Source organism: Homo sapiens, chromosome 22 (assembly GCF_000001405.40).
Source record: "Homo sapiens chromosome 22, GRCh38.p14 Primary Assembly".
Taxonomy (NCBI): Eukaryota; Metazoa; Chordata; class Mammalia; order Primates; family Hominidae; genus Homo; species Homo sapiens.
Genome location: NC_000022.11, coordinates 29879352 through 29906107, shown reverse-complemented (window position 1 = coordinate 29906107; position 26756 = coordinate 29879352). Strand labels below are relative to the sequence as shown.

The following is a 26756-nucleotide window of genomic DNA, read 5'->3' as shown; positions in this document are numbered from 1 at the left end:
GACACAGGAGGACTGCTTGATCCAAGGAGTTAAAGGCCAGCGTAGAAAACACAATGAGAACCCCACCTCAAAAGAAAAACAAAAAAAATGCCATCCTGAGCAAACTCTGGATGAATCTAGACTTTCAGATGCTCAGAACTTGTTTGACATTTGTCAGTAGAAGGATATATAATGACTTTGAAAAAAGTTAATATGTAACAGCTAATATATAAAAGGTTAACAGGTTTAGGAAACTTGCCATAATTTAAAATATGCTTTTGCAAGTGTTTAGTGCACAAATTTAAAATATGCACCAAAACCCCATAAAATTGTTTTAATATCAAAAATGGGGAAAGCTGTAAAAATACAGTAATAAAAGATGCAAGTTCAAAAACACCGAATACATAAAATACATAATTCCACATAGCAGCTATTATATTAAAGGCAAGATATTCCCCAACAAGTAAATTCAAACAACTTCATTTAATTTAAAATGCTTGAAAGAACATTACCTTACATCAAGGAAGTACCTTATCCAAAGGAAAGGACTCAAGCACCAAAAGATACAACCCTGTAACTTATACTTCTGAATTCCCTAGCCCTTAAGACTTACACACATGGTAAAAGGGCTCAACTATGAAACTTTATCAACTATGAAATTTTCATAGTATCAACTACTATATATCAACTATGATACAAGTATCAACTATGAAATTTTAAGGAGAGGGACCACCCTTTTATTTACACAGTTGTCCTTCGAACAACAGGGGTTTGAACTGCACAGGTCCACTCATGTGCGGATTTCTTTTAACCAAATGTGGATGGAAAAAGTATTCTCGGGATGTGAAACCTATATATACAGCAGGCCAAGGGCTAGCTTTTCATATAGGCAGGTTCCACAGGGGCATCTGGGGGACTTAAGTATGCCCAGATGTTGGTGTATGTGGGGGTCCTGGAACCCATCCCCCAAGTATACCAAGGATAAACTGTAGTAGGATATATGCTGACTTTCTGTATTGTTCTCTGTATAACCACTAAAAATGAAAAATGTATGATAAGCTTCTTACTCCATTCTGATGTAACAATAGCTCTAAGAACCATAACAGAGGATAGCAAATTGGTATGTTTAAATCTTGGTAGAAATGTAAATTTCCATATGCCATCTGTGATGGTGATTAAAAAGTTTTCCTCCAACACTGGTCCTCCTACTCAACCCTGTCCTAAAGCTCCAACTGTCTAACACACTTGTAACTTCATTGTCTAACTGCTACCATGTTTAAAACCAAGACACACACACACACACACACAACACACACACATACCCCTCTGAACATTGTCCATCTTCCTGCTAAAATCAACTCCCCTTGCTACTTATTCTATCATCTTTGAATATTTTTGCTTCTTACATTTATTGTCTTTCAACTCTTAACACAGATCCTTAGGGGAAAGAGGATGTGTAACTGTAGTGTTGTTATCACTTTAATAACAGTAGAAACAACCACAATTAGCAAATACTGAGTGCTTACTATTGGTTATCTAATATTATAAGCACTTGCTGAAATCTCACAAGAGCCCTAAGAGGTATTATTGTTAGCCCCATTTTAAACCTGAGACTCAGAGAAGTTAAAGAACTTCCCCAAGATCACAGACAGGTAAGTGGTAGAACCACAATTCAAACCCAAGCCTGAGCTCTTATTCACGACAGTGAACTGCAAAAGTGGAAACAGCATCCAACCTGATGTCTGGACTCAAGTACTATTTCAGCTACTCACTAGCAGTGCAACCTCAGGTAAGTCCTGACAGCTATGAAACACAATTTACTTACTTGTAAAGTAGAAGTAACAATATACAGCCTGCCGTGCCTACTTCACAAGGTAGCAATGAAGATTAAGTGTGCAACTGATAAAGCTAATTAAAATTGTATTTGTATTACTAATCCCACAGTTGCTACCTCCATACTCCCACGGTGTTAATTTTGGCAACCCTATCCTGGAATTCTAGACTTGGATCACCAACATTGTTGTCTCAGTTAAAGTAAAGAGCTATAAGTCTTGTCCACATCATAGAGCCACATATAGAAGACCAACGGTTAACCTGCAATTCCCATTACTGGCAAAACTGGGCAGGTATTTCCAGGCAGGTATTTTAATGTGAAACTGCCAAAATTAATGATAGCCTACATATGAGATACCTGTTCACCAAAAATAATGATAGCCTACAAATGAGATACCTGTTCACCAAATGACCATATTTCAAGTGTAATATCCCTTGGCTCCAAACACAATATTCAGTTTTCTAAATATTCAACATCAGAAGGAACATACATTAATGAGAAAAGCTCTGTAGTTCTAGTACCTCTGTACACCTAGCACCTCAATTATATAATACATTTAAACTGAGGGCTTAAACTAAGATTCCATACTACACAAAAGAAATGGCTGGGCAAGGTGGCTCACACCTGTGATCCCAGCACATTGGGAGGCTGAGGCAGGCGGATCTCTCGAGCCCAGGAATTCAAGATGGGCAACATGACGCAACCCCATCTCTACGTACATGCAAAAAAAACCACAAAAATTAGCCAGGCATGTTGGCATGTTCCTACAGTCCCAGCACCCGGGAGGCTAAGTTGGGAGGATCACCTGAGCCCAGGAGGTTGAGGCTGCAGTGAGCCATGACTGCACCACTGCACTCCAGCCTGGATGACAGTAAGACCCTGTCTCAAAAAAAAAAAAAAAAAAGAAAGAAAAAGAAAAAAAGAAAATCAAAAACACTGCTATTCTCTGAAACGTCAAACCACCTATGGCCTCTGTAGTCTGACTCAGGGTTGGAACTGGAACCTCAAAAAATTAACTTGCAAAAATGGCCTGCAAACTCTTTTCTTTTTTATTTTTATTTTATTTTTTTGAGATGGAGTCTCATTCTGTCACCCAAGCTGGAGTGGACTGGCACAATCTTGGCTCACTACAGCCTCCGCCTCCTGGGTTCAAGTGATTCTCATGCCTCACCCTCCAAGTAGCTGGGATTACAAGGCACATGCCATTACGCCCAGATAATTTTTGTGTTTTTAGTAGAGACAAGATTTCACCATGTTGCCTAGGCGGTGGCCTCGAACTCCTGACCTCAAGTGATCTGCCCTCCTCGGCCTCCCAAAGTGCTAGGATTCCAGGCGTGAGCCACCACATCCAGCCTGCAATCTCTTTTCTAAGGTAAAAAGGTCTCATCTATTTCTCTTGGCCTCAGATTGCTGCAAAAAGAAAGCTCACTACATAGGAACAAAGAAGATAATTTATTAACATAGGTAATCAACCTAAGTTTTATGTCTTATTCACATGAAACTCTGCTTATCAATATTAATACCTCCAGCCATCTTGGGGGAGGAGAGGGGAGGAGAGGAGAAGAAAAAGGAATTCTGTAGTGCTAAAATTTTTCCCAGTTATTTTTTACTTATAAACTTTCATAACCAGCCAGGCACGGTGACTCACGCCTGTAATCCCAGCACTTTGGGAGGCCAAGACAGGCGGATCACAAGGTCAGGAGTTCAAGACCAGCCTGGCCAATATCGTGAAACCCCATCTCTACTAAAAATACAAAAAAATTAGCCAGGCGTGGTGGTGGGCGCCTGTAGTCCCAGGTACTCAGGAGGCTGAGACAGGAGATCGCGCCACTGCACTCCAGCCTGGGCGACAGAGCGAGACTCCGTCTCAAAAAAAAAAAAAAAAAAACTTTCATAACCAATTATATAACCATTCTACTACTTAGAGGAACAAAAAAGTCAATGATTGACAATTTAAAAGCTACTAAAAACATAAAATATGAAATTATGCACTAAGGAGTTTTATATATAAATTTACCCATTTAACAAGTATGTGTGTGTACTTCTTTAATTTAAAAAAATTCTAATGACTTACAGTTTATATTATAAGATTATTTATACAAACAGATTCTTCTCATTCCAGAGTGGGCTTTTTTAGGGTAGTTTACCAAGCAATTTATAATGTTCTGTGAAAATCACCAGCTTTTTCAGGTTCTCTAATAAAGTTATAAAAGTTCTAGGCACCATATTTTTTTAAACCATAAAAAAAATACATGGGCACATGTGTATGTATGCATGCATCAATGCTTTTATGGCACTTTTATTTGTAATTACCAAAAACTGGAAACAACCCAAATGAACTGGGGAATGAACACACAAGTTGTTGTACATCCATACAATGGAATGCTCCTAAACAACAGAAAGTAATTACTGATACATAAAAACATGGATGAATCTCAAAATACATTAGGTTAAATAAAAGATGTCAGTCTCAAGAAGTCACATACTGAGTCAAGCAGGAGGATCCCTTGAGACCAGGAGCTTGCGGCCAGCATAGGCAATATAACAAGACCTCCCATTTCTATCAAACAAACAAAAATTAAAACAAAAAGGCTAAATACTGCATGATTTTGTTTACATGGAAATTCTGAAAAAAAGACAATACAACAGAGAAAAAACAGATCAGTGGTTGCCAGAGACTAGAGGTGAGGAAATGGGCTGACTATAGAAAGGGTCATGAGGAAATTTTTTGAGGAACTACTCTGTATCTTGATCATGGTGCTTGCAAAACTACATGTGTTTCCCAACCTCACAGAACCATACTCAAACATACCTTAATAAAAATAATTTTCAACCATACATATGATAGAGTCTTAATTATTGCTCTAATACCAAGACCAAATAGATGCTGCTTAAACCACCGAAGCAAGAACACTAAACTTTGGTCTCATCTGCCTCCAAGTTTGAAAACTCCCTTCCATTAACATTTCGCCTAAAAATTAAACAATATTTGTAAATTAGTCACAAAATCCTTTAATATTAAAATATATATATATATTCTTAAAGAAAACTACCTAGTGCTTACATCCTAGTCATTTTAGGAGAAAATTAAGGGAATAAAGCCCAAGTAATAAATATTAACATCAATCTTTTCCAGAATCATCATGGTCAAAACAAATGAGACTCTTCTCCTAATTTTGGTTCAAAATACCAAAATTTTTACTTCAAAAACTCTCTAACAGATTATTATAAAATCTTAACATTTGCCTAAAAGTCTTTACGTATTTTCACATAACTAGGCAGTATAACAAAAAAAGAGCACAGGCTTAGGCCGGACGCAGTGGCTCACACCTGTAATCCCAGCATTTTGGGAGGCCAAGGCAAACCACTTGAGTCCAGTGGCAAAACCCCATCTCTATAAAATACACAAAAAAATTAGCCAGGTGTGGTGGCACACACCTGTAGTCCCAGCTACTTAGGGGGATGAGGCAGGAGTATGACTTGAGCCTTGAAGGCAGAGGCTGCAGTGAGCCAAGATCACGCCACTCACTCCACCCTGGGTGACAGAGTGAGACCCTTTCTCAAAAAAAATTTTTTTTAAAGCACAGGCTCAAGAACTCAACCCACCTAGGCAAATTATTTAACTTAATTTTGCCTCAATTGTCTCATCAGTAAAATTGGGATAATTTTACCTACCTCTGGGAATAATCCTAGACTATTAAATGAGTTAATACATGTATTATAATAAATCACAGGGTAGTGCCTGGCATAGTTAACTAAGCCTCAATACTAACCTAATATAAATGAATGATATCAATAATCACCAGCTGTGTAGTCTTTGTATCCCACAATTCTGCTCTGTAAGGTAAGTGGCCTAAATTCAATGGCCTAAATAAAGACCTATTTAGCAACAGTACTCTATATTCCTATTATTTTACGTGAATTTCACCTACCTAATTCAGTTTGCAAAAGAAACGTTAAGTATTATACCACTTATACAAAAAAAAGTGAAGTCTAAATAAGTTAAATGACTTACCCAAAGAAACAATAATGTGAAGGCAGAGCCAAGATGAGGTTTTGGTGTTCTGAGATTCCTTAAAACTTTGTCCTCTCCAGAATTTTTAGCCCTCCATCAACTCCTTCCCTCCTAACAAAGACACAGGTATAATGTACCCCAAAAAACCTCCAATTTAATAATTTTAAAATTTCATTAAGCTATACATTTGATTTGTGCACTCTTCTGTATGTTTGTTTTATATCATAATAAAAAGGTTAAATGGCTTATCATTAAGTGTATTCACATATGAAGAGAAGTAGTGGAAAAGTTACATCAAAAGCTAAAAGACGACGAACTCAGCAGATTACGTTCTTTAAAATTTTGCGAGGCAAAAGTTTTTAACTGAGGTATAATATACATACAAAGAAGTGCACCTTTCCTAAGTCTACTACTCGATGATTCTCATAAACTGAACACAACCATGAAATCAAGATCCAGATCAAGACACAGAACATTAGCAGCATACCTACAATCTCCCCTGTCCTCACCACCAAAGATAACCATTATTCTGATTTCCATTCCCATCTGTTAGTTTTGTCCATTTTTTAAGCTTTACAGAAATGGAGTGCTCGCTTCAGCAGCACATATACTAAAATTGGAACAATACAGAGAAGATTAGCGTGGTCCCTGCACAAGAATGACATGCAAATTGGTGAGGCTTTCCATCTTTCTTAATTATTACAGTAGTATTATTTAATATCCAAAAACAATGATCAATATGAAGAATGGGATGAACTAATCAATACTGTGATTGAAGACAACAGCATTATTTGCCTGGGAAACTAAAGACAAAACAACTAGAAAACTATTAAAACTGTTGAAGGAGTCAATTTGCTACTTACAGAATAAACATATTCTACTCACAATAACATATACTATATACTATGGAATTAAAATCATATTTCTGGCTGGGCACAATGGCTCACGTCTATAATCCCAGCACTCTGGGAGGCCAAGGTGGGAGGATCACTGGAGCTCAGGAGTTCAAGACCAGCAGGGGCAACATAGCAAAATTTCCAAAGAATAGGACTATCTACATGTGGACAAGTATGAGTGTTTCCTGATTAAATAGCCTAAGTGTCATCTCCATGAATGCATGTATACAACTTTGTTGGATTGAAGGCTCCTCATCTCAACCCCACTGGAGGTAAATGCTATAAATGTAAGTAATTCAAGAAAGTCTCATCCAAATTAACTCAAGTAAAACAAAAACAAAACAAGAAAAATTTGTCCCATCAAGGTAATGTTATAAAATGTGTAACTACTGTCTTTATCAGTGACTCACTTATAAAGTAGATCTGAACTATGGATTACTACTACTTACTTTCATTAAAAAAAAAAAAAAAGATGTGAGAAATTTTTGTAAATTTTCTTTACCCAAAGGTTCGCTGCAGCCATAAAAAAGAATAAAATCATGTCCTTTGCAGCAACATGATGCAGCTGGAGATCATCATTCTAAACTAAACATTGGGTAAACATGGAAGTAAACATGGGATTCAGGGAACTAACAGAGAGGAGAGGATGGGAAGGCGTGAAGGTTCAAAACTACCTACTAGGAGCTGGGTACGGTGGCTCACGCCTATAATACCAGCACTTTGGGAGGCTGAGGTGGGTGGACTGCTTGAGTCCAGGAGTTCGAGGCAGCCTGGGTAACAGGACAAAACCCAGTCTCTACAAAAAATACAAAAATTAGCAGGGAATGGTGGCCCAACACTGTAGTCTCGGCTACCCAGGAGGCTAAGCTGGGAGGATGGACTGAGCCCGAGCGGTCAAAACTGCCGTGACCAGTGATCGCAACATTGCACTCCAGCCTGAGGGACAGAGACCTACCCTGTCTCAAAAAACTTATAACTATCTAGTGGGTGCTATGCTTACCACCTGGGTGATGTGATCAATTGTACCCCAAACCTCATGCAATATACCCATGTAACAAACCTGCACACTATTATTATTGGGAGAAAAAGAGCTAATTTAGAACAATATATATAGCTTGACCCAATTTGAGGAAAAAGTTTACCTTTGTATATTTGTTGAAAACAACTATCAATAAAGGACTAAAATTGTGTACTATTCATTCATATGACTGAATACTATACAGCTATTAAAATTAATGAAGTAAGGCAAGTGCAGTGGCTCACACTTGTAATCCCAGCTACTCGAGAGGCTGAGGCTCGAGAATCACTTGAACCTGGGAGACGGAAGTTGCAGTGAGCCAAGATTGTGCCTCTGTACTACAGCCTGGGTGACAGAGCAAGATTGTGTTTCAAAAAATAATAATAATAATACACATATATCAACATGTCATTTTTCAAATTATAGAAAGTATGTACTAAAATATCACATAAATTTGAAACCCAATACTACATAAAATATATATAGATATTTGTAGGAAGAATATAAGTGCATGAGCTAAAAAGATAAATAACTTCTGCATACGAAAATACGATCTAAGAGGATGACAAAAGGGACTCCAACCGTATGCATATTTTAATTTTTAAAAGCAAATACAGGCCAGGCACAGTGGCTCACCCCTGTAATCCCAGCCCTTTGGGGGGCCAAGATGGGCAGATCACTTGAGGCCAGTTCAAAACCAGCCTGGCCAACATAGTGAAACCCTGTCTCTACTAAAAATAAGAAAATTAGCCGGGCATGGTGACGAGCTCCTGTAATCCCAGCTACTCAAAAGGCCGAGGCACAAGAATCACTTGAACCTGGGAGATGGAGGGTGCAGTGAGCAGAGATTGCGCCACTGCACATCAGTATGGGCAACAGAGTGAGAGCCCGTCTCAAAAATAAATAAATAAATAAATAAATAAAAACATACTTAAATACACCTTTGAAGCAAATCTGACAAGATGTCAGCATCTATTAAATCTACTGAATGGGCTGGACATGGTGGCTTACGCCTGTAATCCCAGCACTTTGGGAGGCCAAGGCAGGCCAATCACAAGGTCAAGAGATCAAGACCATCCTGGCCAACATGGTGAAACCCTGTCTCTACTAAAAATACAAAAATTAGCTGGGCATGGTGGCGTGCACCTGTAGTCCCAGCTACTCGGGAAGCTGAGGTAGAGAATCGCTTGAACCCAGGAGGCAGAGGTTACAGTGAGCCAATTCCACCACTGCACTCCAGCCTGGCGACAGAGCGAGACTCCAACTCAAAAAAAAAAGAAAAAAAAGAAAAAGAAAAAGAAAAAAAATCTACTGAATTAGTACATGGTGTTTGTTAACTTATTCTCCATATTTTTCTAAATTTTTTAAATATTTAAATTTTACTTTAAAAAAATAAGCCAAGGTTGTGGAATTCAGAGACAGACAGGCTTTGTAGATTCTATATGGGATTTGTGTGTGTGTATGTGTGTGTGTGTGTGTGTGTGTGTGTGTGTGTGAGACAAGCCTGTTATTCTGTACTATAAAATTTTTAACTAAAAAAAAATTATATTATTAGTTTGGTGCAAATGTAATTGCAGTTTTTGCACTGTTGAAATTTGCCATTTAATACTGGAATACACTCTTAAATAAATGGTTATGTTATACATCATTTTAATGCACATTTCTTGCCTTTTCTTGCTAATAACGTATTTTTTGCTTTTTTTTTAGACTATGGAAATTATGTTAGACAAAAAGCAAATTCAAGTGATTTTCTTGAGTTCAAAATGGGTCGTGAAGCAGTGGAGACAACTCACAACATCAACTACACATCTGGCCCAGAAACTGTGCAGTGGTGGTTCAAGAAGTGTTGCAAAGGAGACGAGAGCCTTGAAGATGAGGAGTGTAGTGGCCGGCCAGAAGTTGGCAATGACCAACTGAGAGCAATCATCGAAGCTGATCCTCTTACAACTACACGAGAAATTGCCGAAGAACTCAATGTCGACCATTCTACCCTTGTTTGGCAGGCAATTGAAGCCAACTGGAAAGGTGAAAAAGTTTTTTTTGTTTGTTTGTTTTTGAGATGGAGTCTCACTCTATCACCTAGGCTGGAGTGCAGTGGTGTGATCTGGGCTCACTGCAACCTCTACTTCCTGTGTTCAAGCGATTCTCGTGCCTCAGCCTCCCTAGTTGCTGGGATTACACATGCCCGCCACCATGCCCAACTAATTTTTGTATTTTTAGTAGACATGGGGTTTCACCACGTTGGCCAGGCTGGTCTTGAACTCCTGGCCTCAAGTGATCTGCCCACCTCCGCCTCCCAAAGTGCTGGGAATACAGGCGTGGGCTACCACGCCCAGCCAAAAGGTGAAAAAGCTTGATAAGTGGGTGCCTCATGAGCTGACCGAAAATTTTAAAAATTGTCGATTTGAAATGTTGTCTTCTCTTATTCTACGTAACGACGACGAACCATTTCTTGGTTGGATTGTGATGTGCGACAAAAAGTGGATTTTATACAACAACAGTGATGACCAGCTAAGTGGCTGGACCGAGAAGACACTCCAAAGCACTTCCCAAAGCCGAACTTGCACCAAAAAGTGGTCATGGTCACTGTTTGGCGGTCTGCTCCTGGTCTGATCCACTACAGCTTTCTGAATCCCAGTAAAACCAATACATCTGAGAAGTATGCTCAGCAAATCGATGAGATGCACTGAAAACTGCAATGCCTGCAGCCAGCACTGGTCCACAGAAAGGGTCCAATTCTTCTCCACAACCACCCGACAACACGTTGCACAACCAACATTTCAAAAGTTGAATTGGGCTACGAAGTTTTGCCTCATCCACCATATTCAACTAACCACTCGCCAACCGACTACCACTTTTCCAAACATCTAGAAAATTTTTTGCAGGGAAAATGCTTCCACAACCAGCAGGATGCAGAAAATGCTTTCCAAGAGTTCATCGAATCTCAAAGCATGGATTTTTATACTACAGGTATAAACAAACTTATTTCTCATCGGTAAAAATGTGTTGATTGTAACAGTTCCTATTTTGATAAATGAAGATCTGTTTGGGCCTAGTTACAATGATTTAAAATTCACAATCCAAAACCACAATTAATTTTGCACCCACCTAACAGTACCTACATTTATTATTTCAACTGCTCTTCAACTTTTTTTTTTGAGATGGAGTCTCCCTCTGTCAACCAGGCTGGAGTGCAGTGGCACGATCTCAGCTCACTGCAACCTCCACCTCCCAGGTTCAAGTGATTCTCCTGCCTCAGCCTCCTGAGTAGCTGGGATTACAGATGCCCACCACCGCGCCCCGTTAATTTTTGTATTTTTAGTAGAGATGGGGTTTTGCCATGTTAGCCAGGCTGGTCTCAAACTCCTGACCTCACCTGCCCACCTTGGCCTCCCAAAGTGCTGGTATTATAGGCACGAGCCACTGCATCCAGCCTAATCTTACTCTTTAAAAGAATAAAGTAAGGGCCGATAATAACAAATGTCTTAACCCAGAAATCTAACCTTTTTGAATTATGTTATCCATTCACAGAAGCATTTAAAACACTACAAGTGTGCAGTAAACTAACAGCAAAAGCCAACAAGCTCTAATCACTTAAACTCTAGAGGATATGTGACACAGCTCTTCCTAAAATATCACCAGATGGCTATATAAACTTAGAACGGCTCAACTCCCAGCTGTATATTAACACCAAAACTCCAATAAGCCTATACTGTCATAATAAAAATCGTTTGCCTAAGCATCTTCCAATTCATATTAGATGTATTAATATAAACCATATCCCATCTGAGTTGCCACAACTCCATTTGATATTTAAAACATACCACAACACACACACACACACACACACACACACACACACGGATACAGAACTTGGGAGTTCGGGCTGAGTTCTGTGTTTACAGAGTGCATAGAAACTGATTTTTCTTAAGGTGTCTTTTATAATTCTCAATCAGCTTATTAAGAAGAAAAAAACTAGATGGCTCAGTCCTCTTGGGTTTAATTGTGATCAAATCCCAGAATGTCTTTAGTCATAGTGGAGTTCACAATGATAAAGTTCAAATCAGCTTACCTGCCCCACTCCTCCCATACTACTTCCTACCGCTGCCACTCCTCTTAGGAACTGGAGCCAGTTAACCACCCACTTTCTCAATGGTGAGTGCGACATAAACCTTCAGAAGACATCCAGTGAAAAATAAAGACTTTAAAATAGCAGTTTTTGGCTGAGCGTGGTGGCTCACACCTGTAATCCCAGCACTTTGGAAGGTCAAGATGGGCGGGTCACCTGCGGTCAGGAGTTCAAGACCAGCCTGGCCAACATGGCGAAATCCCATCTCTAAAAAATACAAAAAATCAGCTGGCTGTGGTGGCTTCTGCCTGTAGTCTCAGCTACTTGGGAGGCTGAGACACGAGAATGGCTTGAACCCAAGAGGTGGAGGTTGCAGTGAGCTGAGATCACGCCACTGCACTCCAGCCTGGGTGACAGAGTGAGACTCCGTCTTAAAAAATAAAAAATAAAATAAAATAGCAGTTTTTCCTACGTATAAAAGTAATACATGCTCGTTGTAGAAAAATGGGAAACTCTAAAAGAATAAGAAGCAAAAAAGCCACATTATCCCACCAAGACAGAAATTAATCACTACTAATATTTCCATTCATGGCCATCCAGGGTCTCTTCTATATATAAGTGTCTTAGTTCATTTACCAAACAGGATTTTAAATACTGCAGAACAAGCGGGAAGTAGCATACTAGTTCTTTGGAAGACTAATTTTCTTCATTGTAAAGTTACACTTACTGCTGAGTAAGTCAACCATATGTACAAGAAACTGGAGAGAATGACAAAGGTGAGGGGAATCATACCTGCTCTTTTTCATTCACTCACAGCAAACCATGGAGTCCATGTTTTGGGAACCATTATGTACGCAAAGACCAACTAATGAGTATGTTTCCTTTATAAATAGCAGCCTACTAAATAAACAAATACATACATACAAATATACAGTCTTGCCACAGGAGTTACACACACAGTGAAAGGAATGACATTAAGAGTATTTTTTTTGTCACCATGAAAGTATCTTAAGAGAAAGTAAAGGGATATGTGAAAGGTTGATCTAAAATTCAAGACCTCTTCCACGAAAATATTTTCTGTGCACATAAGATGAAGGAACAATCTCACTACGGAAAATATACCTGTTGGTTTTACAATGCTATAACTTATTTACATGTGTAAATAAATATGCAGGAGTTTAAATAGTCCACAAATATTGACAGCTTACTCTGTACCAGGCAATGTATTAACTGCTAGGGAGTAAGGGAGAGAACAGCCACCAGTCCCTATTTCTGCAGAACTTTCAGTCTACCTCTTGAAATATGATGTCAAACACTAGGCATGTGGTCTCAAGCAAGTCACAACAGTCCTGATTAAATGATGATCTCAAATCCTTGTGATGACCTAAGAAGATATATGTGAAAGTAGCTTATACATCATGTTACCTAAGGTAAAAAGAGATATGTGGCCTTTTGTGCAAAGCACTGTATATAGCAATCATCTTCAATATAAATTATCTCATTTCTTTTAACTGGCAAAAAAGTAATCACTCAAGTTGCTTAATATAATCTCTTTTCACAGTCTCTAAGATTTTAGTATTATCTTTCTCTGCCAATGACCCACATGAAATAACTGAAATTAATTTCCCCATTTTTTTCTAATACAAAAAGCCTTGTTTCCTGATGTCATAATTTATAGGGGTTGGGGGGCAGGCAGCCACAGATCAAAAGCAACTTATTCTAACTCAAGAAAAAAATTATCTTTTAATCTAAGAATCATCATGGAAAGTTTGTTATAGGCTCAGGCTAATCCAAACAGAGTTAGTGACAGGTTAATTGTGGTACTTTGAAAGCAAAGGAGAGCAAGTAGCAATTATTCATACCTTCACTCAGTCTCTAGGACCTAACTCTTAAAAAACAGGGAGATACATATTACAGCCAAACGGCTTTCCAAAAAACATAATTTTTTAAAATATGTTCTACAAAATATTAATTCTTCATATCTAGAAGAAATAGAGTACTTACATTGCTTCTTATCCTACTATTTGTCCTTTTCAAATTCAGCCACCTCAACAATGCAAAAAGTATTGAACTGATGTTTTAAATTTATTTTTACCCTTATTGCAGATACGACTCTCAAGAGCATGGGACATTTTTTTTTTTTTGAGATGGAGTCTCGCTCTGTCACCCAGGCTGCAGTGCAGTGGCACAATCTCAGCTCACTGCAACCTCCGCCTCCTGGGTTCAAGAGATTATCCTTCCTCAGCCTCCCAAGTAGCTGGAACTACAGGCGCGTGCCACCACGCTGGGCTAATTTTTTGTATTTTTAGTAGAGGCGGGTTTCACGGTGTTAGCCAGGATGGTCTCGATCTCCTGACCTCATGATCCGTCTGCCTTGGCCTCCCAAAGTGCTAGGATTACAGGCCTGAGCCACCGCGCCCAGCCTAGCATGGGACATTTTAAAGGTATTCATGATCCAACTAAACTGGACCAGCAAAACTAGTGAAATGCCCAAAAACAAGCATCTATAAATGCTCAATATTAAACCTTAAGAGTCTAAAGCAGTAGTATCCAAAGCAAGTATAACATATGCACGGTGGCTCACACCTGTAATACCAGCACTTTGGGAGGCCAAGGCAGGCAATTCACTTGAAGCCAGGAGTTCCAGATCAGCCTGGCCAACATGGCAAAATCCCGTCTCTAGTAAAAAATACAAAAATTAGCCAGGCATGGTGGCACACACCTGTAATCCCAACTACTCAAGTGGCTGAGGCGCAAGAATCACTTCAACCCAGGAGGCAGAGGTTGCAGTGAGCCAAGATCGCACCACTGCACACCAGCCTCGGTAACAGAAAAAGACTCTTGTCTAAAAAATATATACATATTATACATACACATATATATATGTTATATATACACATATATATTATATATTATGTATACACATATACAATGTATACACATATATATTAAATATATACACACACACACATACATACATACACACACGCACACGCATACCTCCAGGAGTAACCAAGACACCCCAGGGTAAAAAAGGAAAATATCTGAACTTTATTTTTAATTATCATCCTTGTTGATTTTTTGTTCGTATTTTATAAAGTCCACAATAATCAGTTACTATACATATATTATTTGTAAATCAAATATCTAAGGATTAAGAATTGATGCTCAATTTTTTTCTTTTTCTCTTTTCTCAAAGCAACAACACGAAGTCCTATCAATTTTTTTTTTCTGACTTCATTCTTCCCATCTCATCTTTTTTTTTTTTCTAAAGAGATGGTCTCGCTATGTTGTCCAGGCTAGAGTACAGCGGCTATATTCATAAGCACAATCACAGTGAACTTTAGCCTTGAACTCCTGGCCTCAAACATTCTCCTGCCTCAGCCAACTAAGTAGATGGGACCACAGAACCATGTACCGCACCTGCTTAATGCTCAAAATTTTTTAGTGATGGGGTAAGCAACCAAAAAGTTTGAAGACCACTGGTCTACACCACTCCCTTGTCACTGATCTTTCATTTTTATCAGCTCCCTCCGAAGAGTTAAGCTATGGAAGTAAGTCCTGATGCTGAAAAAGAAACAGAAAACTGTTTCAAACTACTTTAAACTCCCAACAAGCTAAAGATGACAAATCACTAGCAAGAATATATGGAATTGAATACTAATACACTGTTGATGGGAATTTGAAATAGACATCCTATCTAAAGGGCATCTTGAGTATATCTAAATTTAAAACACACGTACCGTTTGACCTAATAATCCCACTTTTTTTTTTCTTTTGAGACTGAGTCTCACTCTGTGGCCCAGGCTAGAGTGCAGCAGCTTAATCTCGGCTCACTGCAACCTCTGCCTCCTGGGTTCAAGTGATTCTCTGTGCCTCAGCCTTCCAAGTAGCTGGAATTACAGAGGCCCGCCACCACACCCGACTGATTTTTGTATTTTTAGTAGAGACGGGGTTTTACCATGTTGGCCAGCCTGGTCTTGAACTGCTGACCTCAGGTGATCCACCCGCCTTGGCCTCCCAAAGTGCTGGGATTACATGCATGAGCCACCACGCCCAGGTAATAAACCCACTTTTAAGAATTTATCCTGGGCCAGGTGCAGTGGCTCAGGCCTGTAATCCCAGCACTTTGGGAGGCGGAGGCAGGTGGATCATGAGGTCAGGAGATCGAGGCCATCCTGGTCAACATGGTGAAACCCTGTCTCTACTAAAAATACAAAAAATTAGCCGGGCGTGGTGGCATGCGCCTGTACGCCCAGCTACTCAGGAGGCTGAGGCAGGAGAATCGCTTGAACCCGGGAGGCAGAGGCTGCAGTGAGCCTAGATCGCACCACCGCACTCCAGCCTGGGCGACAAAGTGAGACTCTGTCTCAAAAAAAAAAAAAAAAAGAATTTATCCTAAGGAAATAATAAAATAATAGAACAATTCAATGCAATTCAATGTCCAAACGAGTTCATCACAGTACTGCTTTAAGAGAAAAATTGACAATATCCATTAATAACACAGAACTGCTATAAACTATGATGCATCCATATTATAAACACTAAATGCTCATTAAGGGAATATCAATTTTACAGGGAAAGTTGTTCTTTTTAAAATTATTTCAATAGATATGTATAAGAAAAAAAACAAAAATACCAAACATTACATCCAGATGGGATTACAGGTCATCTCTACTTTTTTTTTTAAAAAACACTAAAACCGTTCTGGGCCAGGTGCAGTGGCTCACGCCTGTAATCCCACCACTTTGGGAGGCGAAGGCAGGCGGATCACCTGAGGTCAGGAGTTCGAAACCAGCCTGGCCAACATGGTGAAACCCTGTCTCTACTAAAAATACAAAAATTAGCCAGGCGTGGTGGCAGGTACCTGTAATCCCAACTACTCAGGAGGCTAAGGCAGCAGAATTGCTAGAACCAGGAGGCTGAGGTTGCAGTGAGCTGAGATCACACCACTGCATTCCAGCCTGAGTGACAGAGCGAGACGCCATCTAAAAAAAAAAAAAAAAAAAAAAGTTCCGTAGCTTTCATAACCAGAAATAATTTCATTTTGAAATTTAAAATAAGATTAAGTTAAAACTCCAAATTATAGTGTCCTATATCACTTCCAAAACTCTTTATAAACACTCTGCCTTCCCATGTCATTTGTGGAATCAGTCTAAACAATTAAATATTTGGTTTATCTCATGGAAAAATGATAGGCATAGAATAAATAACAACCCTATTTCAAGTTATAACCATCTTGTCTTCATACCAATTCTTGCCAGTTATGTCATGATTTATCAATATACTTATAATTTCCTTATATTTTGCCAGATTATAAATCTATGAATAATTCTGAAAACTAAATAAATTTATATTTCTCTTCTGCAACTAAGTTATAAAAGTATTAACGACTTGGGGAGGCTGAGGCAGGGAGAATCACTTGAACCCAGGAGGCGGAGGTTACAGTGAGCCGAGATCGCGCCACTGCACTCCAGCCTGGGCAACAGAGCGAGACTCTGTCTCAAAAAAAAAAAAAAAAAAAAAAAGTATTAACTAATAAAGAAATTAGATTTCGACCCCAGGTAAGTGAAATCAGAAAAGCTTGCTATCATCTGTCATAACAGAATCATTCTGAATATCCGTAGTTATCAGCATCAAGACAATACCTCTGTGGTTAAAGTACTCCATACTCCATGTTAAGGGAAAAGAGTACTTAAGAATATTATTACAGCATAAGTTCATGTGCTTTGTTCATTAAATCAACAGTTCAGAACATAGCTATGAGGTATTTCACCACTAACAGAATAGCTTTAAGGTAACCCACCTTCACAATTTTCTTTTTGTTTTCGTTAGTTTCATGCCTTACTATTTTATAGACAGTCATTCTATCCACATTGCCCAAGTACTATGTCCCCAAACAACGACGACAAAGTTTTATCACAACCCAAAAGAAAAAAACAACCTTTTAGGCCAGGCACAGTGGCTCATGTCTACAATCCCAGCACTTTGGGAGGCCAAAGCAGGAGGACTACCTTTGAGCCCAGGAGTTCAAGACCAGCCTGGGCAACGTAGCAAAACCCTGTCTCTACAAAAAATGAAAATTATAATTTTTAAAAAGAAAAAATACATTTTACACGGCAACCAAGTATACATACATAAAAATATCTTTTAAAAAGAAACAAAAGTTTCCCAAATCTTGAACCCGGGAGGCAGAGGTTACAGTGAGCCGAGATCGTGCCACTGCACTCTAGCCTGGGCAAACAGAGCAAGATTCTGTGTCCAAAAAAAAAAACAAAACAAAACAGTATTAACTACTAAAGAAATTAGATTTAGACCCCAGATAAGTGAAATCAGAAAAGCTTGCTACCATCTGTTGTAACAGAATCATTCTGAATATCTGCAGCTATCAGCATCAAGACAATACCTCTGTGTCTATATTTACTTTTACTTTATGCAATGTACTGATATATTCTCTTTCTGAAAATGCTTTTTTAAATAAGTACATTGATTTCATTACCCTATGACACTGCCACCTGCTACTTAAAAACACAGCCTTAGAACTTTACACAGAATGTGCTGAACTCCTTGCTCCTACCACCTTCTACCACTGCTCCAACATAAGAAAATGGGTGAAATCTAGCCAAGTCTATTCCAAGTAGAGACCTTGGCATAAATGTGAGACATCCCAGGTTCCTCTGAAGTCCCTGCAACATTGTGACTATTCCGACTGGCAGACAGGATACATGTGCTGAAAGGTTTCTCCAGCCAGAGTACAGAAGCAGAAACCTTCTCTGTTGCCATATCAGTGATATTGGTAAATTCTGCACTTGACAATACAGACTAGGTTTACCACTGCTCCACAAGCCAATTCTTCAAAGACATAAAATAGGATTCTAATACAATACGATTCTAATACCAGCCCCTTACATTTTTAGAATGCTTTTCATATACACTATTGTTTGATCCACAGTCTGTTAGAAAAGTAGAAAAGTTGCTCTTCTTCCTTTCACTAATGAGGGAACTGGAGCTCAGGGGGGTTATGTAGCTTGCCAGAAACAACATGGGTAATGAAGAATAACAACCCAGGCTTGAACCCAAGATTTACTATCTACCCACTTTCATGCTACAATTTTCATTTTTAATATCTGATACAAATATGAACTTAAAAGGTATATTGTTTCTAGATACAAAAGCAAAGATGAAAGCATATCAGTATTGATATCACAAAATTAAGATTAAAAATAGCAATGACATGTTAATAATTTGGTAGCCTCTAAAGTTACTGGGAGTTCTAGTTCAATCCAGTATGAATCTGATATCATCTTATAACTTAAATCAATGTTACACTGATTATAAATTTATCTATATATTCATCATAGAAAATTACAGAATTAGGTGGTAAGAAACAGCTAGCTATATAAATTGCACAAACTCCCCCCAAACCATTCTCAAGTCTCATGACTTCACACTAAATTATGAAGTTCCCAATGTAAAACCCAATTTGATTTCAACACTAAGCCAATTACAACAGCATAAGCATGTTCTTTCTACATAACACTTGCAACATACATTCAACATCGGAAGCACTTTTGGACAATGTCTAAAATCCATAAGCTAAAAGCAGAACCCAACACAGAATCTTGTTTCTTTTAAATAATAAAAGTTCATCTACCTATATGAGATGAATACCAAATAACATAATTAGAAATGATTAAAAATTTGCAGAATCAGGCTAGAGAAACTACTTGAGGTCAAAGACTATAGGCCCTTAATTGTATATATGAGAAAACTGACGCCCAGAGAAGTTAAGTGACATTCCCAACAGCAATAAATGACACAGATGGAATCAGAATATATGTCTGTCAATCCAGAACTTCCCACTATTCTATACTACCTTTGCACTTACTGTGCTCTTAAAAAAGTAACTAACATCTGAAACACTTAAGATTCATTAAGACTCAAAAACTAGGGGACTCGATAATGTTCATGACAGTCTTTAGAAAACAATTTCTTAAAGGAATCTCAAAAATTCCAAACAATAAGCACTGAAAGCTGGCTCTTCATTTTCATTTTCTTTCCTACCCAGAGCCCTATTTGATCAAAAATTGGCTCTTTAATCCATTGCAAAATATCAGGTAGCTTTTAATAACTAACACTGCTATAAACCACCATAACTGTTCTTTTTCCCATATCAATAGTATTCACTTAATTAAAAAATATCTGAGGGCACAGAATATGCGGATAACTGCGCTGGATACTGGGGACACCAGGGAACAAAACAGACAAGGCCTCTGGCTCTTCTAATGGACAGCTGGGTGCAACTCTAAAAATACTACTCTATGATTTGACAGGATATTTACCAAAGCCCTTCACTACTCTACACAATTGTAACAACATTTTCTTCCACCTCTTCCAAACTTGTAAGAACCTTCACCACACCCCCCTCTAAAACACGAATACTTCCTTTGGTAACAGCATTCCACTTTACTGAAGAAGGTGTGAACGTGTTAACTAGAACTACAGCAGATTTTTAAACTGACTTTACCACTCCTCATGGCCTGCGGCAAATCTCAAGAACTTTTCACAATACATAGTAACCCTTCCTGGTTCACAACCCGGGTCTCAAATGATTGCTAACACACCCATCCTACCCTCCACTAGAAATCTGAGTCAGATGGTTTAGGAGCAACCATAATGGTGGGAAGCATCTTCAGTGGACCCCTTTATGAGCCAGAAGCCGACTTACTCCCTCTCCTTCTCTGTTTATTTCCTCTGGATCCTTCAATATATCTCTGGATACAGTATATCTCCAATTAATCAGCATCTAATTTTATCAAGTGTGTTCCTAATAACTTGTTTGCAAATTAACTTTTGGCAACAAATCTGTTTCCCCTACATAAATCCATTATATTTTAAGAGATGCTCAATTTGCATCTCTTTAAGTTTCTCATGCTTCCCCTTCTCCACCTCTTAAATTCTTAAAGATCTATAAACAAAAGCACCCTGAGAAGTCATAATTAATGGGACTTCTTTGGAATACCCAACCTAAAGCAAAAGTTCACATGCCTTGCTGACCAGAATCATTCACGGAGCTTTGTAAGGACAGATCCCCAGGCTCTATCCTCAGAGATTTTAATTCACCAGGTCCTGCATGAGTTCGAGGAATTTAGGTAGTCCATAATATTTCTAATGACCAGCCTTAAACTAGACAACCACTGAAGAACCTGGCCTATGAGCTGAGAAACTCAGGGTTTTTTATGGCTGGTCATTAACGACAAGCGGGGCTGTACCACTGTGCTGGTCACTTGAAGTTCTCTGAGTCACCTGAAAATGAGGGAGTAATTGGAGCCAAAAGAGGTATTCATAGGCAGCCAATCTAAAATTCTAGAATCCTCCAAATTTAATTTAATATCACATACTATACTGGGTTTACTCAAAACAGTGTCATTCTGGCTGGCGGCAGTGGCTCACGCCTATAATCCCAACACTTTCGAAGGCCAACGCAAGCGGATCACTTGAGGTCAAGAGTTCCAGGCCAGCCTGGCCAACATGGTGAAATCCCCGTCTCTACTAAAAATACAAAAATTAGCCAGCCGTGGTGGCGCACACTTGTAATCCCAGCTACTTGGGAGGCTGAGGTGGGAGGATTGCTAGAACCTGGCAGGCGGAGGTTGCAGTGAGCAGAGATCGCACTACTGCACTCCGGCCTGGGCGGGAGAGAGAGATTCTGTCTTAAAAAAAAAAAAAAAAAAAAAAAAAAAAAGTGTCATTCTGTAAGCTCTTCTAGCCTACCCAAGTCATAGGCCCTATAAAGGGAAGACTTTCTGCATGCCATCAATGTCTCCTGTCCTACTGAACAGCCCTGAATCTGAAAGGGGAAGGTCCCCACCACCTCTCCATGGACAAATCACAAACATTTCACATTGAAAAAAATAATAATAATCTCCTGTAATTCAACCCAGGCCTCTTATGGCATTACCATTCACATATGAGAAAGTTGAACCTTAACTAGAAAAGTATATGGTTTTGGGGTTTTGTTTTGTTTTGTTTTGTTTGTTTGGGTTGTGGAAAAATAGATGTCAGAATCAAGATACTACAACAGTAAGAATTTAGGCCTGGGTCTGGAAAGGACATTTGAACATCAATATGTAATAGCAGTCCATGTCCAAAACTCACAAGTGAGATTATCAAATTCCAGGGGAGTCTATTAATGTGGCCAAAAAATCTACCCCATAATTTTGACATAAGTTTTCCAGTCCAAAATACAACCTACAGTATCATCTTATGGGTCCGGAAATGCCATACATCAAGCAAAATTACTACCGGAGAAATAACACTGTAATCATTTGCGGAGCAGTCTGACCAGGGTTCCCTCAGTTACGCCAACCGCCCCCAATCATCCTACCCACCTAAGTACTACCAGGTCAGGGGGATGCCCTGCTGCACGATCGGGCGGTCACTCCTCCTTTCCACAAGGCCCAGGCCCGCACCGTTCGCCCCGGGGCTCCCATGGCCCCTGACCTCCAGTATCCGGCAACGATGGACCGCCACAGACCCGGCAGGGGGCGAAGGGCGCACACCCACCTCCCGGGAGTTCGTGGGAATAACTCCGGGCGCTCCGAGGGTACGTCCCACACCCAGAGCCGCACGGGCCCATCCCCGCCAGGTCTGGGAAGGCAGCCCGAGCCCGGGACCCCGCCTCCCCCGCATCTAGGGTCCGGGCCGAGCTCGGCCGCCGAGCTCCCATTCCCACTCCCACACCCAGCGCCTCCCCCTGGCGGCGACAGCCGCCGGGGACGCCCCTCCCCGGGCCCCGCACGCAGTCCCCAGCCCTCCCAGGGCGCTGCCTCCTCAGAGGGTGACAGCCGCCTGGCCAGGGCCGGGGCCGAGGCCGGCCCCTCCTCCAGCTCTTCCTCACCCGCCGAGGAGACGGAGGACGGGGATGGGGTTCTTACCGGGCAGCAGGACATGGCGAGGCCCTCCACGGCACAGTCTCCCCCTCCGCCACCCCACCAGGCTCCCTGCCAGGGCCGGCGCTGGGCAGCGCCTGAGCCGCTGGGACGTCTCGTCCGGCTGCTACTCCGCCGCCGCCGCCGCCTTCTCACAACCACAACAACATGGCGGCAGCGGCCACACAGAGCGCGCTCCCGACGCCGAGCCGGGCGACGAGCGAGGACGCGCGCGCACGCTCGGGCGCTGAGCCCGGTGTCCGGGAAAGGGGGCGGGTCTCCGCCGGTTGGACGGGGGCGGGGCCTGGACAGGTGGTCACGCCCCAGGAGATGGGCGGGGCTGCAGCTGGGGAGAGGCTCGCGAAAAAGCCCAGCGGAGCAAGAATGGCTAGACAGATGGGAAATGGGTGGAGGAAAAGAGATGACAAAAAAAAATCTGGAAGAAAACCAAAGGTGGTCCTACAGATTTTTAGGAGGCGTCTTTTCCAAGCTCTGTAACCCTGGGCAAGACATGGCTCACTCTACTTACCAGAAAAATAGAACAATAGTGGTATCTTCCACCTGCAATTGTGGTCAGGATAAAACCAGTTTAATATAATGCAAGTAAATATAGTGTTTTAGAAGTTGTATTCAGAATACAATTTCTTTTCTTTTCTTTTCTTTTTTTTTTTTTTTTTTTTTTTTTTGAGACAGAGTCTGGCTCTGTCGCCCAGGCTGGAGTGCAGTGGCATCTCGGCTCACTGCAACCTCTGCCTCCCGGGCTCAAGCGATCCTCACACCTCAGCCTCCTGAGTAGCTGAGACTACAGACTCACAACATCATGCCCGGCTAAATTTTGTATTTTTTGTAGAGATGAGGTTTCTGCCATTTTGTCCAGGCTGATCTCAAACTCCTGGGCTGAAGCAATCCACCCACCTCGGCCTCCCAAAGCGCTGGGATTACAGGCATGAACCACCGCATCCGGTCCAGAATACAATTTCAAACTGATTCAACTTCAGCTCCTAATCAAAAGCTCAGCGGGAAGAAGTGAGTTTTCAAACAAAGTAAAAAACAACTCCCCCAAAAAATTGTAACCTACCCACACTAGCCTGCAGAATTCCACAAACCAGGATTGCATTACCGTAGGCCCTAACAGATTCACCTCCTCTGAGTTGCCTTTTAACATTCTACCCTTGACTTTTCTGGAAACTGGGAGAACTAGTCAAATGAAATCTATTCCTGCGTCTGTTGTAAAGTTTTTCCACAGCACTTTCTGAAATTTATTTTCAATGTTTACTGTCATTTTACTCCACTAAAATGTAAAAGCTACTTGAAGATAAGGATCTTGTCTTGTTCGTCACTGTTTCCCCAGCACCTAGAACTGTGCAGGTTAAGTAGTAGGCAGTCGAATTTCTTGATTAACTAACAGCTGGCTGGGCGCGGGGGCTCACGCCTGTAATCCCAGCACTTTGGGAGGCCAAGGTGAGTGGATCACCTGAACTCAGGTGTTCGATACCAGCCTGGCCAACTTGGTGAAACCCCGGATCTACTAAAAATACAAAAGTTAGCTGGGCATGGTGGCGGGCGCCTGTAATCCCAGCTACTTGGGAGGCTGAGGCAGGAGAATAACTTGAACCCGGGAGGCGGAGGTTGCAGTGAGCTGAGACTGCGCCACCGCACTCCAGCCTGGGCGACAGAGCAAGACTCCGTCTCAAAAAAACGAAACTAAACTAACAGCTAACATTTATTCATACAACTCATCTAATTGAATCTTCACAACTTTAATAGGTAGATGCCATTATCTCCATATTACAGATGAAGAAAGTGAAGCACAGAATAAATTGCGTGTATTAAAACAAAATTCAAACCCAGCAGACAAAAAAAAAAAAAAAATACTGTGCTGTCTTACCCACCAGGCTGTACTGCCCAGTGCATGGACACAGTAGCCTGAAATAAAATCTCAAGTAAGAAATTACTTTAGGCCGGGCGCAGTGGCTCATGCCTGAAATCCCAGCACTTTAGGAGGCCGAGGCAGGTGGATTGCTTGAGCTCAGGAGTTCGAGACCAGCCTAGGCAACATGGCGAAATCCCATCTCTACAAAAAATACCAAAAAACTGGCCAGGCGTGGTGGTGCACGCCTGTAGTCCCAGCTATTTGAGAGGCTGAGGTGGGAGAATGGCTTGAGCCTGGGAGGCAGAGGTTGCAGTGAGCCCTGATTGTGCCACTGCACTCCAATCTGGGTGTCAGAGAGAGAAAAAAGAAAGAACGAAATAAATTACTTTAGAGTTAAAAGCTTGGAAAGCCCTTGCTTTACTACCAGAAAAACCGGTGTGCTTCCTGCTTTTTGATAACTGTTACGCATCTGATTGTGTCTCTCTTTTCACTCTGGCTTCCAGAAAGCCCAGGGCTAAATGTGAAGCTCAGCAATGACCTCTTCTTGGCCCTTGAGGGTCCACTCCTGCCTCAACTTTGCACCTGTATTTATATGTGGCTGCCCTGATTTTCCCTTTCTGTTCTATGACTGACTATAGGCTTAATGGAATGGGAGAAGAAACAGTAAATACTAAAATTGATGAATGATTTAAAGTTTTTTTATTTTATTTTATTTTATTTTATTTTTGAGACAGAGTTTCACTCTTGTTGCCCAGGCTGGAGGGTAATGGCGGGAACTTGGCTCACTGCAACCTCTGCCTCCCGGGTTCAACCGACTCTCCTGCCTCAGCCTCCCGAGTAGCTGGGATTACAGGCATACGCCACCACACCCGGCTAATTTTTTGTATTTTTAGTAGGGACGGGGTTTCTCCATGTTGGTCAGGCTGGTCTCGAACTCCCGACCTCAGGTGATCCACCAGTCTCGGCCTCCCAAAGTGCTGGGATTACAGGCATGAGCCACCGTGCCCGGCCTCTTTTTATTTTTATATTTTATTTTATTTTCAGACAAGGTCTCACTCTGTTGTCCAGGCTGGAGTGCAGTGGCTGGATCTCTGCTCACTGCAACCTCTACCTCCCAGGGCTCGAGCCATCCTCCCACCTCAGCCTCTTGAGAAGCTGGGACTACAGGCGTGCTCCACCACACCTGGCTAACTTTTGTATTTCTCATAGAGACGGGGGGTGGGGGTGGTGTCTCACCGTGTTCCCCAGGCTGGTCTCAAACCCCTGAGTTCAAACGATCCATCTGCCTCCGCCTCCCAAAGTGCTGGGATTACAGGGGTAAGCCACAACGCCCAGCCTTAAACTTTAAAAATTAAGAAAAAAAAAAAAAGGACTTTCCAACCTGTTTTTCCCATTGTCTGATAAACCAAGGTTCTCATCAGCCATTAAGCCCCCCCGCAGGGAAATTCCCTTAACCAGTCATCTGCTCAGGGAAAGGCCATAGGACGAACTGCCACAGGTTGGTGGCCTCTGATTGGACTGAAGCTAGCACCTGACTCCAGGACAGCCCACCCATAGGCCACCTAGCTTCCAATGAGAAGGCACAGGGCAAAGAGTTCTGCCAATAGGCAGTCAGCATACACTCAACCAATCCCACAGCTCCCCAATTCACCATGGGAGAGCGAAGGAGATGGCTTGTAATTTTGACCTCTTTTTAGACGGAATGTCATCGTGTTTGCCTTTTAATCTGGGCTAAATAATCTTCAATTGAATCTTCAACCAGTATTTGGGACATAGGAGGAATTTCTCTATGCCCATGAAATCACACTATTTGCACCTTCTCATTTTCATAATAGCTAACATGAATTGGAGTGAGTGGCTATTCACCGACCAGATATCAGCACACTACAGCTTCCAACTCCCCGGCTCCAGCAACCCTCCTGCCTCGGCTTCCCTACTGGGTCTAGAGGTATTCACCACTGCAACTGGCTGGATTGAACCTTTCAATTGTGGCGGGCGCTATACGAGCACTTTACATGTATATCTAATGTAATCTTAGGCCGGGCACGGTGGCTCACACCTGTAATCCCAGCACTTGGGGAGGCCGAGGCGGGCAGATCACCTGAGGTCAGGAGTTCGAGACCAGCCTGGCCAACATGGTG

General features: G+C 41.1%; 1 protein-coding gene and 1 pseudogene across 3 annotated transcripts in view, besides 5 other annotated features; one reads left to right on the top strand and one right to left on the bottom strand.

The window, feature by feature from the left end:
- Window positions 1–22934, bottom strand: part of MTMR3 (myotubularin related protein 3) — a 147695-nt gene extending 124761 nt beyond the window's left edge. For all 3 annotated transcript variants that reach the window (NM_021090.4, NM_153050.3, NM_153051.3), the window contains exon 1: window positions 22749–22934. The gene's annotated coding sequence lies outside the window, so the exon portion shown is untranslated. The remainder of the gene's footprint in view (window positions 1–22748) is intronic.
- RNU6-331P (RNA, U6 small nuclear 331, pseudogene) lies at window positions 6415–6521 on the top strand (annotated as a pseudogene).
- Window positions 22392–22891: a silencer, noted in NCBI's record as "silent region_13599". NCBI's record gives its function as "represses an Ori minimal core promoter by ATAC-STARR-seq in GM12878 lymphoblastoid cells {active_cell/tissue: GM12878}" and the evidence as "EXISTENCE:reporter gene assay evidence [ECO:0000049][PMID:35858748]".
- Window positions 22392–23128: a biological region, named in NCBI's record as "Sharpr-MPRA regulatory region 2042".
- Window positions 22834–23128: an enhancer, noted in NCBI's record as "tiled region #2042; HepG2 Activating DNase matched - State 1:Tss, and K562 Activating DNase unmatched - State 1:Tss". NCBI's record gives its function as "activates a minimal TATA promoter and a strong SV40 promoter by Sharpr-MPRA in HepG2 and K562 cells {active_cell/tissue: HepG2 | K562}" and the evidence as "EXISTENCE:reporter gene assay evidence [ECO:0000049][PMID:27701403]".
- Window positions 22952–23121: a silencer, noted in NCBI's record as "silent region_13598". NCBI's record gives its function as "represses an Ori minimal core promoter by ATAC-STARR-seq in GM12878 lymphoblastoid cells {active_cell/tissue: GM12878}" and the evidence as "EXISTENCE:reporter gene assay evidence [ECO:0000049][PMID:35858748]".
- Window positions 26123–26222: a silencer, noted in NCBI's record as "silent region_13597". NCBI's record gives its function as "represses an Ori minimal core promoter by ATAC-STARR-seq in GM12878 lymphoblastoid cells {active_cell/tissue: GM12878}" and the evidence as "EXISTENCE:reporter gene assay evidence [ECO:0000049][PMID:35858748]".